A 16916-nucleotide genomic window follows, 5' to 3' on the forward strand; every position below is an offset into this window, starting at 1 on the left:
AATCCTATGGACGTTTACTTCTTAGTCTTGTATCATTTTTGAGCTGGTGAATGAGCCAGCCCAGGGGCTCTCCTCCACTCTGCTCTACAGGAATCAAGGCTGGATGAACACTGTCATTATAACACATGGCTTTCAAGGGTACCCTGTGCATTATCCTTATTTGCCTAAGACAGTAAAGAACACATAGGAGTGAACCTGAGATGTTTTGATGAACCAGGCCTGGAGGTGGTGCCCATCATTCCTACTCATGTTCCATTGGCTACCACTCAGTCACATGACCATGCCTAGCTGCAAGGGAGTATGGGAAATATATTTTGTATGGATGACAAGGGAGACGAGAACAAGATGGCCTTGGCTGCTAGCAGTCTCTGCCACAGTTTGTTTTAAGGACTCATATTGAGTCAGGTTCAGACCAAGACCTACAATTGCCCCAGGAAGATCCATAATTTGCTCCCTTCCCTTCAGTTCTTCTTGAAATTTTTGTTCAGCATTTATTTTGAGGTGAAACAGAGATCTGTGGGGGTGATTGGAAGGAAGAGAGTTGCCCCTTGACCTGTGGAAATACTGTTCAAACCCTTACTCTGATTCTTGAGCCACCTTCAGAGGTGATAAAGATGTCTAGCCCCTCCCTAAGGCTACCTCAAAGTGTAGCATTTTCCTAATCCTCACGTAAATCAGCACCTACGGGTGCAACACAGCTCAAAGCCAGAGGGAGAATCCATAAGCCCTTATCAAGAGTTACCTCTGGGACCAGGTATCTCCCATGGGAAGTACTCAGGTCTGTAAGCCCAAGGCCTCACTGTGAGGACACCTGGCTCTGGGCAGGGCCTTCTGGGACCTCAAGGCTTTGCCTGGCCAGATCTGACTTTAGCTGTCTGGGCCCCTTCCCACACCATGAGGCCAGCTGTGAGGGACCTGTGTGAGAGGGAACCTTGGTAAAAATGGCCTGAGCAAGAGCAGGGAATGGGGGACTTCATCTCCAGCCCGCATCCTGAGAAGGAGGAAGCCTCTGTGCTTTGGAAGCATTTATAAGACTTTGTGTAACCAAGGGCCACCCTTGAGGTTTCCTTGCCTTATTGCTCCCACATACCCTACTGAAAAAAAAAGGGACAAAGACAGGTGATGGCTCACGAAATGGAGCTGCAGAATCTGTCCTCCCCCTCTTGTATCTCTCCTGGCTGCCAACAGAAAGACTCCTGTTCTATAAGCCAGCAGCTTCATGAGGTCTGAAAATAATCCCTGAAAGAAAAAAAAGTAATAATAACAATATTATGTTGAATGCCAGGCACTATGATTAACATGTGATATATGTTGTTGTATTGAATTCTCACCATGACCTGTGAGTTAGGTACTTTAATCTCCACCCAGTTAATGAGGAAACTAAGGCTCAAAGGAGTTAAATAACCTTGTCCATGTTCACACTGCCAGAAAGAGGTTGAGTCAGTACCTCCTGTCTGACTGCAAAGCCTGTATTCTTAACCTCTGAGCTCTGTGACCCTGATAACATTGGTCACTTGCTGGGTGGGGCAGAGGAAGCCCTAGCTGCCTACACCTTCTTGTACCTGCAGCCCTTCCCCTCCACAGCTGGGACCTGTCTCAGGCTGACAACCTGCCAGAGTGACCCATCACCTCTACATATTCACCACACTCTTTCTGAACCTTTTCTGTCCAGTCAGCTTCCAAGCCTCTCTTGGGCATGAGTTTCATCCCAGTGCACCTGATAAGTCCCAGGTGCTCTGCCTGAGCCTGCCCACCAGCTGCCTGAGCTCCACCATTGAAAAGAGGTGTCTCCAGGATGTTAAAGGGAGCCTCGGGTGGCAGAGCTCTCTCCTTCTTGTGCACTTCACTTCAGGTGACTCTTGAAGAGACTTGGAATTGTACCACATCTCAGGACTGGTGGCTTCTGCTCACCTCCCCACTGGAGATCAAAAGGTAATATGCTCCATCAACCACAGAGGTTCATTACTAGCCCAGTATCAAGCCAAGGGTCTGGCCAATGCTTTCACCTGGCAGACTGCCATCAGAGGCTGCTTGGGCAACACAGACATGCAGCCTTGATCTTCACCTGTGCAAACAGCCTACGTGGCACAGCTGAGCCCCAGACATGAGGGATGGACCTGGAGTTTCTCTTTTTTTTTTTGAGACAGAGTCTCACTTTGTCACCCAAGCTGGAATGCAGTGGCACAATCTTGGCTCACTGCAACCTCTGCCTCCCTGGTTCAAACGATTCTCCTGCCTCAGCCTCCCGAGTAGCCGGGATTACAGGCACCTGCCACCATGCCCAGCTAATTTTGTATTTTTAGTAGAGACAGGGTTTCGCCATGTTGGCCAGGCTGGTCTCGAACTCCTGACCTCAAGTGATCCACCTGCCTTGGCCTCTCAAAGTGCTGGGATTACAGGTGTGAGCCACTGTACCCGGCCAGAGTTTCTCTTGACCCCACCCACACCTCCTGGCTGCTTGTCCCAAGACAACAGCTTCCCTACTCCAAATCTACATTTTCCCTCTTTTATTAAGGGAAAGAATAGTCCCTAGGGGTGTGCCACTGTAAAATTCTCTGGAGGAAATAAAGAAAGTAATAACATGTTAAACTATGGATTCTTCGGTAAGTTTCTATGGGCAGCCTTACTTGATGCCATTGGCAATTGTTTCTTGGTTCATTCTCTCCTGGGGCAATCACCAGGTCTGGCCTCATAACAATCCTTTTCCTACTTTTTTTTTTTTTTTCCTGAAAACCAATCCTATGAATTGGTGTGGGAAGGAACCAGTGAAAATCTCCTTGTGAAGGCTCATCATTTAGGATGTTTCTTCTTTAGAGTCCTCCTATTTGGGGGCTTTCTTGGGTAGGGGGAGTGGGGTGTGCACCAGCCAAGCCTCTATCAGGGGGTTGCCAAGCCGTCTCAAACTCTCCCCAGCCGGTTCTTTCCCCGCTGTGGGGCTTTTGGCAGAGAAGGGCCAGAGGGTGCCATTAGCTGGCTTCCCAGGAGCCGTGCGTCCTGCCTGGCTTCCCAGCTGGGTTGGATGGAGGGACATCGTGGTTAACAGATTTGCCAAAAATCATAGAGCTGGGGCTGGCTCTCCAGAGGTCAGGGATATTAAGAGCAAGCCAAAGGGCACAGAGTCCTGTTGCAAGACTGGAAGCAGCCAGGGACCCAAAGAAAGTGCCTGGGGCTAAGCATCGTCGAGCTCATCCTAGGCCTGTCTCCACTCCCTGGAGGACGGTGAACCCATCACCACACATCCCAGGGCCTCGGTCTCCTTGTCTGTAAAGCCAGCAGGTTGGGTCATCTGAGTGGAATAGATACTAAATTAGTCTAAGGTCCCTTCCAATGTTGTGATTCTCTGACTACTTTACAATTTGGGGGTCTGAAGACACCCCTCTACCTTTTTCCATTTGCAAGGTGTGCTGGGGCCACAACAAACCCAACCTCAGGTGCAGCGCCAGGTCCCGCCTCGTTTGTGCCTGTTCTTCCTCACATGACCTTTTGCCCCCGCCTAGCCTGTGCCAGGGCAAATGGAATTCAGACTGCTCTGATTCATTGACCTCAAAGGCAACCAAAAAAATGGCCTTGCAAAGGGGATCTGATGCCTCCAAAGCCGTGACGAGCCTTCCAGGTGGGTGGCTTTTGAAACTGCTCTCCTTCCTTGGGACCACAAAGCTTTATTTGACCAACATTCAAGTTCAAAAACTTTATTTGCCTGGAGCAAACCCAGGAGACTTACTCTTGGAAAACTACCTTCTCCCAGGCTTCACCAGACACCTCACAGGGTGGGAGTGTGGGGTGAAACACATCACACCCATGGCCCTGTGACATTCTCATCTTCCCAGCAGGGAGAACCGGTCCCTGCCAGTGTCGAGAAGTCAAAACAAAGCTCCTTTTCCATGTGCTTTTTCTTCCTCAATGGCTTAGACTGTAAAGTCATCAGGAAGCATGGTCTAGTGCTCCAAGCTCCAGACAGACGGCTTGACCTCTGTCCTGGCGCCCTGGGCTGGCCTGGGCCAGACACCGCACCCCCAGGACTGTTTTCCCATCTGCAAAACAACTCGGGCCTCTCTAAGCCAACACTACCTCTCACTGCAAAACACAGCCCCCTCCCTCCTCCAGGGGCAGTTGGCCTTAGAAACCAGCCCATCTTTAGGGGAAGAAATCCTTATGGGGCAGGCGGCAGCAGGGCATAGCACAGAGGAAGAAAAGAGTTCATCGTGCGCTGGAGGCTGAGGGTGTTGGGGGTTTGAGGGAAGGTGATGGTTTGGGGGAGCGTCTTTTCCACTCTCCTGGATCTGAGGTGGAAGGTCTCTGCTCTGGGCTCTGAAACGGGATGGTGTCATGTGCAGATAAACAGAGAAGCCTATTGTAGATGGCTGTTGGGTGTCTCCAGGGATCAGTAACACCTTCATCAGAGAGGATGCTTCTGTAAGCATTCTACTTCCCTTCCCCACCCCCACCCCTTAAATAAGCAGCTGTTTCCTCCGCCCCTGTCCCTGGCCCCTCGCCGCTGCTGGGTCATCCTGCCAACCCCGGGCTGCAGACTGACTTACCTAGTTTCAGAACTTAACTTGCCTGGATGCACTCCGTCTTCTTCTACTTTACAAGGTCTCTTTTACATCTGCCCTTTACATAAGACCCTGCCTGACCCAGCCTCGAAGGAAAACCCATCCCCCCACCCGTGCTGGTGTTTGGAGCTCAGAAGTAGCCCTCCCAGTGACCCCCTGCCAGGCCTCTGGTGAGCATTTTCATCTGATCCTTAATCCGCCTCCTGCCACCTTGGCCAAACACACCCAACCAGGCTGCCTGTGGTAGGCTCACAATATCCCTGGCTCTTATGCTATCAGATAAGAAACTTCACATGCCCCAGCATCACTGACACCAGGTCTGAGGTTTTATTTGGGAAGAGGAAAGATTAATAGATGCTGGGGCAAAGAAGTCCAAGTATTTGAAGAGACAGACACCCTTGCTCTCCAAAGTAAACCGTTGTACACAATTGCATGGCCCTTAGATGAGATCTGAGAGAGTAGTTCTCACCCCTGGCTGCAAGTTAGAATCCAGGCTGCTCCCCAGACAGATTACATGGGAATCCGTAGGATTGACATCCAGGCATTGGCTGGCTTTGAGAGCCACTGATCTAAAACAATGCCCCATTTTGCAGTTTGGGAAAGAGGGGAGAAGTGATTTGCCCCAAATTAGATGGTCATTTGGGACAGAGCCCTGAGCAGAACCTGTGTCTCCTAACTTTACATTCCTATCTCTTCCCATCATGATTTTCCCTCTGGTCGCTTTAGAAGAGAGGGTCTTAAACTCAGAGGCACATTAAACCTATGTAAGGGAACTACTGAAATATACAATGCCAGGCTTCCTGAAATTCTGGTCTCATTGCTCCGGAGTGTAGCCTGGGTATAAGTATTCAAAGTTCCTTGAGTGACTCTCATGTGTAGTCACAGTTGAATGAAGCCCTGCTTATTAAAGGCTAAACCCCTTCAGAGAGACAGAAAGACTGAGAGAGGGAGAGGCAAAAAAAAAAAAATAATACTGTGGAGGCTGGAGGAAGGAAAATTGTTCTTGTAGGAGGAATCTTGGGATCCATCAAAACAAATGATGCTTGAGCTGGATCTTGAAGCTTTCAATACTTGGAAGTGGCAAACAGCTTTTCAGGAGAGGGAACCGTGTGAGCAGCGTCCCCCAGGAAGGGATATGGGAGATGGGACAGTTAGGAATTGGACAGAACAGGCAAATTGGGACCAGCGTGTGGGAAGCTTTCAATTCACATGGGAGTGTGGCATGAACTGTCCAGCCCAGTGACTTCCAAACTCTCGCACACATCAGACTCACCTAGAGGGCTTGAACGCAGGCTGCCGGGCCCACCCTCAGAGTCCCATATTCAGTGGGTCTGCGTGGGACCTGGGAATTTGCATTTCTAACAAGTTCCCAAGTAATCGTGATACTTCCGGCCTTCCCAAGACACTTTAAGAACCACTGTGCTAGGCAAAGGGAAATCCCAGGAAGTTTCAGATTTGAATCACTTGGAGAAACATATACACACACAGAGAGAGAGAGAGAGTAGGGAGGAACTTCAGTAGGACAGGAACACTGATCTGGCATAGAGAGAAAATCACAGAGCAGAGCAGCCCAGAAGCGCATGCAGGCGCGGCCACTGCATTACAGAAGAAGAAAGGAGGCCCGAAGAGGGCCCGGGCAGTGGGACTGGGGAGGAAGGCGGGTTTACAGCAAGTTCAGTGGACGCGTGCACAGGACATGGTGACTGACTGGATTTGGAGGGAAGTAGGGCAGAGTCCAGGGGGAGTGACTTCTGGAAGCAGAACAGCCAAGGGGGTGCAATTCACTGAGCCGAACGGGCAAGAGGAGGGGCAGGTGTGGGAGCAGTGCCAGGGGCTTGGCTGGAACATGAACCCGAACCCTGTTCTCAGGTGCCTGGCAAGAAGACCTCTGACTTGGGCCTAGAGTGTGCCAGAATGAAGACGGCCCTGCTCCCTAACAGTTGCTGTTTCTGCCCTAAAACTCACCTCCCAGGGGTGTTGGGTGGCAGGCGGGGGAGAGCTGAGCCAGGGTGGTGACCCATCGTGAGGTGCTTTGGGGCTGCGTCCCCTCTAGTGGACAGGCACTGGAGTCCAGCAGAGCTCTGTCTCTTCAGGTCCAGTCAGGGAGGCAAAGGAATCAAGCATTGCCATGCACTCACACTGGAACCCGCTTTGCTCCAAGCCCTCCATCTGCCTTCAGTTACAGGATGTGCTCCCTGAAGCAGTAGTTCCCAATCTTGGCTGCACGTTAGAATCGCCTGGCGAGCTTCAAAAATGCCTGCTACCTGGGCTGCACCCCACACCAATTAAAACAGCATTTCTGGGATAGGACCAAGGCATCTGTATATTATAAACCTCCACAAGTGCAGCCAGGGTTGAGAATTGCACCCCGAAGGGTGTACATAGGTAGCCCTCAAATAGCAGATTTATGAAAATTACATTTCCTCCTTAAGGAAATGGTTTGAATGTGTCTAACACCGCCCTACCCCACCCCACTGCCCTCCTCCCACACAAGTGACCTGATCAAGGGACAGGCCTGGCCTTCTGAGCCACAGGCCTGCCTTGCAGGCTGGCAGGAGCTGTTGCCTATAGTCAGAGTTTATGGAAGCTGAGGCCACTTCCTGGAAGGAGGAGACTTGAAAGCCCAAAGTCCAACGAATTTCATTCAAGGAGGCTGGACCAAACAGAGACAGAGGGGGTAGAGAGTGTATGGGGAGAGATGGGGCCTTATTCAGAGCCAAAACCAAGAGGGAGGATTTAAGGACCAGAGAGACCCTGTGGGAGGAACAGGGATGTGGGTGACAGGAGGTGATCTGCATGAGATTTGGCAACACCAGGCAGCTCCTCACAGCTGTTCTTCAGGCATCCCAGGAGTGTGGGCAAGCCAGGAGAGGACAGAGTGCACCGGGGCTACCTCTCCTGGTCCTCCTCCCCGACTCAGAGTCCCAGGGGCAGATACAAAAGGCAAAGAGAGAAAAGGGCTGGGAAACCAACAGCATGAGGAAGCTGATGAGGGCAGGGAATGGGGGCATTCACTCCAGGGGCATATCAGGATTGAAGGGGGCCTGAAGTTTGCACAGTTGGGAGGGCTGTCTTTAAGAAAAAGAACATGACATGGCAAATGCAACTTGAGGTCCTGGGCCTGGGAAAGAGCCTGAAGTGAGGGGTCCTGGGGTGAACCTGCTCTGGCCAATAGGCTAATAATCTGGGCTAAGACTCATTGCTAAACCGTGCCCCACTTTCCAGGGTCTTGCCTTGTCTGGGACACCCCATCAGACTAGGAGGCCAGTTGTCCATTTTATTTCTGGGAAACGAAGGAGTAAAGGAGTCTCTGTGGTCAGTCACCCAACACGCGTTGGTGGCCGTGCCACAAAGAGGTCCTCCGTGCAGTGCTGCAGGCCATTCACTCCCTCCACAGCTTCATATTAGGATCTACCATGTGTCAGGGCCGGGCTAGGCATGGCACGCATCACAGGGTCTCAGATAGGGCGCAGCTCTCACAAATGACAAGTTCTCTGCCTGGGAGGCATGCAGGCCTCTGTGAAGGCAGGACAGAGAGAGGGAGGTAACTGCCTCAGGCAGTTAGGGTGGGCTTCCTGGAGGCTGCAAACAGAGAAGGGAGCCTGAGAGAACCTGCCTAAGTTCACCAGATCAGGGAGAGTTGGTCTTGCAGAGGGAACAGCCACAACAATATTTATTAAGCACCTACTATGTACCAAGTTTAGATCTGTTATATAAAGTCAATGAGTCTGTTCAACAACATCACAAATTGGGTCCTAGTATTATCCCCATTTTACAGATAAGAAAGCTGAGACACAGTGAGGCTAAGGATCTTATTCTCAGTCTCACAGCTACTTAAGTGGTGGGTATGAATTTTAAACCCAGGTAGTCTGGCTCTAGAATCCATGCGTGCACAAAGCTATGACGAGACATCCTGGAACACTTTGAGAACTGCAAGATACTCAGTGTCCCACACACAGGAAGCACAGGGAAGACAGGCAAGCAAGGGGGCCAAAAGGGCAGGAAGGATCCTGGAGGGCCTAGAAGAACAGATAAAGAGGTTTGGGTAAGGAACGCTACCCAAAAGAGGCAGGGAAGCTACTGAAGGTTTTTAAGCAAGAGCAACAGATCTACGCTTTAGAAAGGTTGCTGTGGGCCGGGCGCAGTGGCTCACAACTGTAATCCCAGCACTTTGGGAGGCCAAGGCAGGTGGATCTCTTGAGGTCATGAGTTCGAGACCAGCCTGGCCAATATGGTGAAACCCCTTCTCTACTAAAAATACAAAATAGCCGGGTGTGGTGGCAGCCACCTATAATCCCAACTATTCAGGAGGCTGAGGCAGGGAAATCACTTGAATCCAGGAGGCGGAGGTTGCAGTGAGCCGAGATCACACCACTGCACTCCAGCCTGGGCGATAGAGCAAGACTGTCTAAAAAATAAAAGGTTACTCTGTATAGAAGATGTGATTAGAAATGATAGATTAGAAGCCGTCAGATGGGAGCAGGGGATCTCTGCATATGCTATTGCAGAGTCCTGGCAATTGTGAATGGAACATCAATTGAAGCCAAGGCACCAGCTTGAAGTTCCTCTGGTTCCAAAGACCACCTTTAACAGCCTGTGGGTGGAGTAGACAGAAGAGGATCAATCTTATGCCATATGATGTGTTTTGGACTTGGAGCCCAGAGATCTGAGTGCAGTGCCCTCCCTCCCACTGGCCACCTTCGTGGACAAAGTCAAACCCCTTCACCTCCCTGGGCCACAATTTGCTCATCTGGAAAATGAGCATAATAATTCGTGTTCTGTCTGACTCATTCGATTTTTGCGAAATTCAAATAACATCATGTATGCAAAAAATGGCCCATGACTATTATTGACAATGCAATGGAAGCTTGAAATGTCTGCACAATTAACTGATGGCCTGGAGGCCAAGAATCTTCTGTTCCTGGGCTCAAGTGGTATCCTTTGCCTTGGCAATAAGCTCACAGCTGAGGCAGGTCCTTCCCACCTCTACCGACCCACCGAAGTCCTTCCCTTTCTTCAAAGCACAGCCCAAATACCGCCTCCTCCAGGAAGCCTTTCCAGAGCCATTCTTCAAGCCCCCAGCTGGAAATGACCTGTCCTTCCCCTGAAGAATGCTGCTTTCTGCTCTACTCTATGTTCCATCTGGCTGCAGTTGCTTCTGCATTCCCTCCTTCCCTCCCCATGAGCTGCCACAGGCTGCTGTCTTTCTTTTTTTTTTTTTTTTTTTTTTTGAGACAGAGTTTCACTCTTGTCGCCCAGGCTGGAGTGCAGTGGCTCGTTCTCAGCTCACTGCAACCTCCGCCTCCTGGGTTCAAGCAATTATCTTGCCTCCATCTCCCGAGTAGCTGGGATTACAGGTGCCCACCACCACTCCTGGCTGATTTTTTGTATTTTTAGTAGAGAAGGGGTTTCGTCATATTGGTCGGGCTGGTCACGAACTCCTGACCTCAGGTGATCCGCCCGCCTCGGCCTCCCGAAGTGCTGGGATTAGAGGCGTGAGCCACCGCACCCCGCCAGCTGCTGCCTTTCTTATTCCTCTTTCCATCTTCCACTTATCCTATGTGCCAGCACAAAGGATACTCAGTGCCTTTTGGTGGCAAGATTGAAATACAGAGCAACTGAGTGAGTGGGCTTTGGACCCACAGAGAAGTCTGGGGAGACAGCAGCCCTCAGCCGGTGAAAAGGACAAGGCATGGAAGGGCCAGAGGCTTGACAGCTTCCTGCATCCTTCCAAAGTCCACTCTCCTCCAAAGACAAGCATAGAAATAATAATAAAGTAACTGTCTTCACTAACCATGATTAAGTACTTCTTCTGTGACCATTTGCTAAGTGCTGGGGCAGAGTTGAAATTCAAATCCTTCTGGCTTAAGGACAACTTCATATTGCGTCTCATGAATGAGAGGATGACTGGTTCTTGGAGGTGTAAGGAAATAGCAGGCATGGTGAGGGAGGGCTTCTTTCCTCTGCATTGTAGGGGCTGGAGTCTGAAAATCCACAAGAGACCCTGGAATCAGTGGTCCTGCTTGTTCAGGCTTCCTCAGCCTGGAGAGTGAAGTATGAGTGACGGGTCCCCTGAGAGAAGAGCGGATGGCCACAGCATCTACAACCAGCAGTGCCCAGTGCAGGAGGAACAGCGGCTTTGCGAGCTTGTGGCTCTTCCAGACATTTCCTTATCAGCTTTCTCCTGCAAGAATCTGGGCAATCAACTGTGTTACAGGTGCCCAGCTTGATAGAAACCCTGCTTATTAAAAAAGGGTGGGGTGTAGTGGCAGTTACGCCAGTGAACTTGGCTTTGGAAATGGAGGCCTGCAAGATGACCTGTTATTGAGCCTTGAAGCCGGGGCCTGGGGCCTGCTCCCAGGGCGGGAGGACTGAGCCCAAGTGGGCAGCTAATGGGACAATTCAAACCTTGGTGGGATGCAGAAGCAGAGATCCAAAATGACCCCTACACATCACTGGAAACCCTCCAGGATCTGCCAACTACTTCTCCTTTCTGGTTGGGCCACCAGTGGCTTTTTCTTCACCCAGAGCAGTAACTATCTGAACAAGTTGTTTTAATTAATTCTTCAGAGATGTGGATCTTGAAACAAAAGTAAAAGATCCCTCCCTCCCTCTGAGAATGAACTTATGAAAGATACAATGTCTACTGTACAAATATAGGCAGTATAGAAATTATAAAAGATAAAGAGAAAAACTTATCCATAATTCTATCCTACACAGAAAGAGAACCCATGTATGTATGTGTGTATATATATATATATATATATATATATATATATATATATATATTTTTTTTTTTTTTTTTTTTTTTTTTTTTTTGAGACAGAGTCTTGCTCTACCACCCAGGCTGGAGTGCAGTGGCATGATCTCGACTCACTATAACCTCCGCCTCCCGGGTTCAAGCAATTTTTTTGCCTCAGTCTCCCAAGTAGCTGGGATTACAGGCGCCCACCTGGCTAATTTTATACTTTTGTAGAGATGGGGTTTCACGATGTTGGCCAGGATGGTCTCGAACTCCTGGCCTCAGGTGATCTGCCCGCCTTGGCCAGCCAAAGTGCTGAAATTACAGTCATGAGCCACCGCACCTGGTCGCCCTACTAATAATTTTTTAACCCCTCTTTCCTGGGCCTGTTTCTGTGTATTTTAAAATATCTACTTGATCTCACCATGTGGATGAAGTTTTCTGTCTTGCCATTTTCACTTAATAACACAAGTATTTGTCATGTTCTAACAACTTTGAATACAGATATTTTAATGGCTGCATAAGAGTCCTACCATATATTATAATTTACTTAACTTTCCCCATTGTTAGATGTTTAGGTTGTTTTCTGTTTTGATTGTCATACATAATACTATAACTTTTAAAAATAAAATGAATCAATAATTCAAAAACAAAAACAAAAAACAATTTGGGTTGTTTTAGGATATGTCCTCCTGTCCCTCCCCTCAGCTGCTTGAGAGAAGATGGGACCCAAGACAGAAGAAGGTGTGAATGCGCAGGAGAAAACCCACAGCCTGCGAGAGGAGGGGGAAGCCGATCCCCGCCTGGCTGATCCCAGACTCCTCTGCCGGCCCTGTTGACATTTGATGAATGCTTCCTGCGAAGATGTTTACCCAGGAGGAAATTCATCATGCTTCCCCTTCCTACCACGAGGGTGGGAAGAGGGGCTCCATTGGTCCCATAAATTCCAGCCACTGTCTGAGCTCACCACCTCATCTCCCTGGGTGCCCCCGAAGGTGTGAGACAAAGGCATCAGACACAGAAAAGCCTGTGCCTGGATGTGGAGAAGCAGCCAAGAGGGGCATGTCTGTAGACACCCAAGTCTACTTGTCACTTTCATCTCCTGTTTTCTTTTTCCTCCATTTAAATTAAGTAGCTGATTGTCCTTGTTTTATCCAGGAAGCCCTAAAGGACCCACTGGCCTTTTTGTTTTTTCTTCCCTTACTGGACAAGGAGACGGGGAGCCAATGTAGTGGCTGGATCTTCAATCGTGGGAGCCGAGGTGTCTGTGGCCCTGGAAACACCATTTGTCTCCCAGCAATTGGGCCTCTTAGTTCCACTTTCAGTTGCACTGCCGTCTTCTCTAGGGAGGCAGTTGGGGCCAAGCACAGTGGCTCACCCCTGTAATCCAAGCACTTTGGGAGAACGAGGCAGCTGGATCACCTGAGGTCAGGAGTTCGAGACCAGCCTGACCAACACGGTGGAACCCTGTCTCTACTAAATACAAAAGATTAGCTAGGCGTGGTGGCGCATGCCTTTAATCCCAGCTACTTGGGAGGCTGAGGCAGGAGAATCGTTTGAACCTGGGAGACGGAGGTTGCGGTGAGTCAAGATCATGCCGTTGCCTGGGCAACAAGAGTGAAACTCTGCCTCAAAAAAAAAAAAAAAAAAAAAGATAGGCAGTAGAAGTATTGAAGGCTTTGATATCAGGGGCCACCACAGCCGGTTCAGCGTCAGCTCTTGCTCACTCTAACCTCCAGCAGGTCCGAGAATTACTCAGAGCCAAGGCTTCCTTGTCTGTGAAACAGAGGCAGCAATACCAACTGCGGCAGTTTCCTGGGAGGGCCACGTAACAGAACGCACGGACAAATGCTTTGAAATAGTAAAATAACATGCAGGTGCTTGTTTTATTTAAGCCAAAGAAGGTGGCCAAGTACCCCATCTATAAAATGAGTATACTGTAAGAATATCTGCCTCCCTCTTTCCTGAATGTCAGAAAGACAGAAGAGATACTATTTGCAAAAGTGTCCAAGACCTTGAGTCGGTTTTCCATTTCACCAACATCCAAACAATCAGAAAATAAAACACACCCAGAACTTGTTTCAGTTCTAAACGATGACCACCTCAGCCATCAATAATACCCTGAAGCAAAGCACCAAAGACTAAATTACTTTTTTTTTTTTTTTTTTTTTGGAGACAGAGTTTCACCGTGCTGCCCAGGCTGGAGTGCGGTGGCGCCATCTCTGCTCACTGCAACCTCCGCCTCCTGGGGTCAGGTGATTCTCCTGCCTCAGCCTCCCAAGCAGCTGAGATTATAGAAATGCACCATGATGCCCAGCTAATTTTTGTATTTTAGTACAGACAGCCTTTTGCCACATTGGCTAGGCTGGTCTCGAACTCCTGACCTCAAGTAGTCAGCCTGCCTCAGCCTCCCAAAGTGCTGGGATTACAGGCGGGAGCCACCACGCCCAGCCACTGAATTCCTTTTTAAAATCACATTCTCGTTATCTAAAAGTTCAGAAAATATGACTCTCAGAAATGTGTATCTGAAGCAACTCAGTGGTTTCTTTAAAAATCCAGATTCTTGCACTGGACTGAATCAGAAACCCTGGGACATAGGACAAAGGACACTGCATTTTAACAAGCTTTTTCGGGGACTGTTTTGCTCACTAAAGTGAGAGCCACAAACTTAGAAGCCCCATATTGTGCTGCAGAAGTCGCAGAAACCTTCTCTCTTTATGCCCTTTAGCAGCCAATCCCTGAACACTCCAAAGAGAAGATTTGTGTACAGAGTATCCACTGGAGCCCAAGTCATATACGATCCCAGCCTCCAAGGCCCCAAGGTCCACAGCTCTGATTCTGGCAAAGGCAGATGGAAGAGGCTGGGTCCAGCCCCCTAGGCAGCCCATTTAGATTTGAGTCCAGACCACAGCAGAAGTTGGCACAAGAAAATGGAGCTGGTACATGATACTAAAGTAATAAATAGGGAGACTGTGTTCTGAGGGAGGGTGGTGGACCTCAGGGGACATCAGAGTCCAGGTCACAGTAGCAACAATAAAGGGAGGCAGAGAGAGGGGACACACAGGCCATCACAGATTCCAGGAATATGAGTTCTCTAAATGATTTTGATAGTTCATTTTAATCAATATATAGTTTCCCCTGAGTTCCTGGGGACAAATCTCAATCATGGAGCCCTCAGAAGCGGTTGATGATTGTCAGGGGTCAGTGGACCTGGGGTCAGTCTACCAGGTGACAGGACCCTATGCATGACTGTTTCCATGTGGCATGACAGCTGCATGTGGAGATATCGAATTTCCCGTGAGGCTGACCTCCCACTTATTCTTCAGGATGAGCTGAGCTGTATTTCATGAGGATTGTTTGCTGTGGGTTTCAGTCATCCTGTAGGAATGTGTGAGCATCTGCAGATGAATGAACGTTCTAATTTCTTTATGTCTGGATGGCCACCATAACCCCTGAGAATGAGACAAATGAGCTCTCATCTCCATCTTTTAGGTGAACAAACTGAGGCTCAGACGAGGTTAGACTCGTTTCCTAAGCCACACAGGTTTAACGTTCATAGACAGGACTGCAGTCTTCTGGTTCAAATTTCCTTCCACTACAGCTTTCTGATTACATCTCAGAAACTTGGCTTTCGAGATATGTCTAGAAGCTGTTTTCTCAGCACCTTGAAAATCTATGGGAGATCTTCCTTCTTGTTTTCTAGTTTAAAACAACATTCTTATTTAATACTTTGGCATACAGTTACGGTGACCAACCTCTTGATTTCCCCAGGATTGCCCTGGTTTTAGCATGAAAGTCCTGCCTCCCAGGAAACCCCTCCATCCCAGGCAATTAGAACATTGGTCACCTCACTAGGTGATCAGACTATCTCATCCTCTCAGGGAGTCCCCAGCTGCAGGCCTCTGACTTCCCATCTGAGCTCTGACTCACTCACTTCCAGCTTCTGCCTCCCCAAGAATTCAGACTCTTCAGAGCAAATACAACACCGAGAAATCATTCTCCACTCAGCTAAGCACATTCGGTGAGCTTCTGATTGCAATGGACATCTTAGCAATGTAAGAGAATGTACACAGAAATATCAGATTTATTAGCACCAATGTCCAAATGGCCATATATCAAAAATTTGCTTTACTGAACAATGGTGCTGGAAATGAAAATATAATTGGAGACCCAGACACTATATTCTATACTTAAACTAGAAAAAAGTGAGTGTTATTTGCATTCATTATGTCCAATGGAGCAGACAATCTGGTTAAATTCTGGCTTTGCTGCTTAACAGCTGTGTGGCCTTAGGTAAGTTGCCTAATGTCTCTCTGTACCTCAGTTTCCTCATGTGTAAAATGGAAACGATAGCATCTACTTTACAGCGTTATGATGAGAATTAATACATATAAGTCACTAGAGAGTGCCTGCAGTAAACGAGGTTAGCTATTGTTCATTGCCCCATAACCTACACACGGCAAGGCCAATGCCAGTATCTAAATATCACGTACCACACAAACCAAGCAGAGGATAAGAGGGGAGTCATTTGTTTCCCAATAACTGGGGAAAGGAAAAGGGAGACTGGAAAACTGTTTTAGACCGAATCTGTTCTTCTTTCTTCTTCCCTTCGAGAGTCATTTTATCCTCAAGCACTATTGCTGATTCTATCCTCATGATCTGGGATGCCCAAAACAAGCAAGGAACAGTCCATCAGTAATGTCCCTCACATTAGTACAGCACTTTATATATAGCAACTCACTTGTACGCATGTCACTCTGCCGCCACATCTATACAAAGCCACTTCCACTACAAACCAAACTTCTCTGACCCATGCGATCTGCCTAGCATTGACCACTGAGCTTCTATCTACCATGTGTCTCTTGCTAAGCTGGATGCTGTGGGAGATGGAGGATGCAACAAAGTGTAAAAAGTGGGCGGAGCTGACCCTGGACCATTTACATGTGTCTGGGGGAAGAGCTCTCCAGGTCTCCAGGTGTGTAAAACAGGACACATCGGGTGTCAAATGACCTTGGGATTCAGAAAGGACAGGCAAAGGCACGGCACTGTTGGCGGAAGGGGTCCACACAGGGAAGAGGAGAAGCCCCCTGTAGCCCAGCCTTTTACACCGACTTCACTCAGTCTTCTAGAACAGATGTGATGAGCGCGCTGACCCTCCAGCCTTAGCCTCTCAGTGTGCTCCAGAGAACTTCCAACAGGAAGATTGGCTTCTCTGGGCCCGAGGGCTTTCTCCAGTGCTAGTGCTTTCCAGATGAGCTACAAAATTAACACTCGCTGGGAAATTCACATCCTCTGCGGAGCAGCCTTTAGGGACTGAGAGGAGTTGGTGTGTACACACCCCAGCCCCCCACCCCCGGGAGGATCGTTTTTTGAGGTGTGTGTTTTACACTCGTGTAACAGCTTCCCCCTTGGGATGAAGCTGCAGCTGCGCATTGTGTTGACTGGCTGACCATGGCCCCTTTACCGGTTTTCTCCCCTCCCCTTATCACTGCCCACACCTCTCCCGGGCTCTCCCTGGTTTACCTTCTCCCCAGTAAACTTGCACATCCTTGTCTCAGAGGCTGCTTCTGACAAAACTCAAACTAAGACATCCCCCTATTTCCTGTGAATGGATTAATATT

General features: G+C 48.9%; 1 long non-coding RNA gene across 2 annotated transcripts in view, besides 1 other annotated feature; it reads right to left on the reverse strand.

Annotated features, from left to right (window-relative positions):
- Nucleotides 1-16916, reverse strand: part of LINC02028 (long intergenic non-protein coding RNA 2028) — a 65515-nt gene that overhangs the window by 23059 nt on the left and 25540 nt on the right. The window lies entirely within an intron of this gene.
- Nucleotides 3664-4241: an enhancer, noted in NCBI's record as "H3K4me1 hESC enhancer chr3:193749967-193750544 (GRCh37/hg19 assembly coordinates)". NCBI's record gives its function as "activates a minimal SCP1, AML or CMV promoter by ChIP-STARR-seq in naive H9 embryonic stem cells {active_cell/tissue: H9 hESC(naive)}" and the evidence as "EXISTENCE:reporter gene assay evidence [ECO:0000049][PMID:30033119]".

The sequence above is a fragment of the Homo sapiens genome, chromosome 3 (assembly GCF_000001405.40).
Source record: "Homo sapiens chromosome 3, GRCh38.p14 Primary Assembly".
In the NCBI taxonomy this organism is placed as follows: Eukaryota; Metazoa; Chordata; class Mammalia; order Primates; family Hominidae; genus Homo; species Homo sapiens.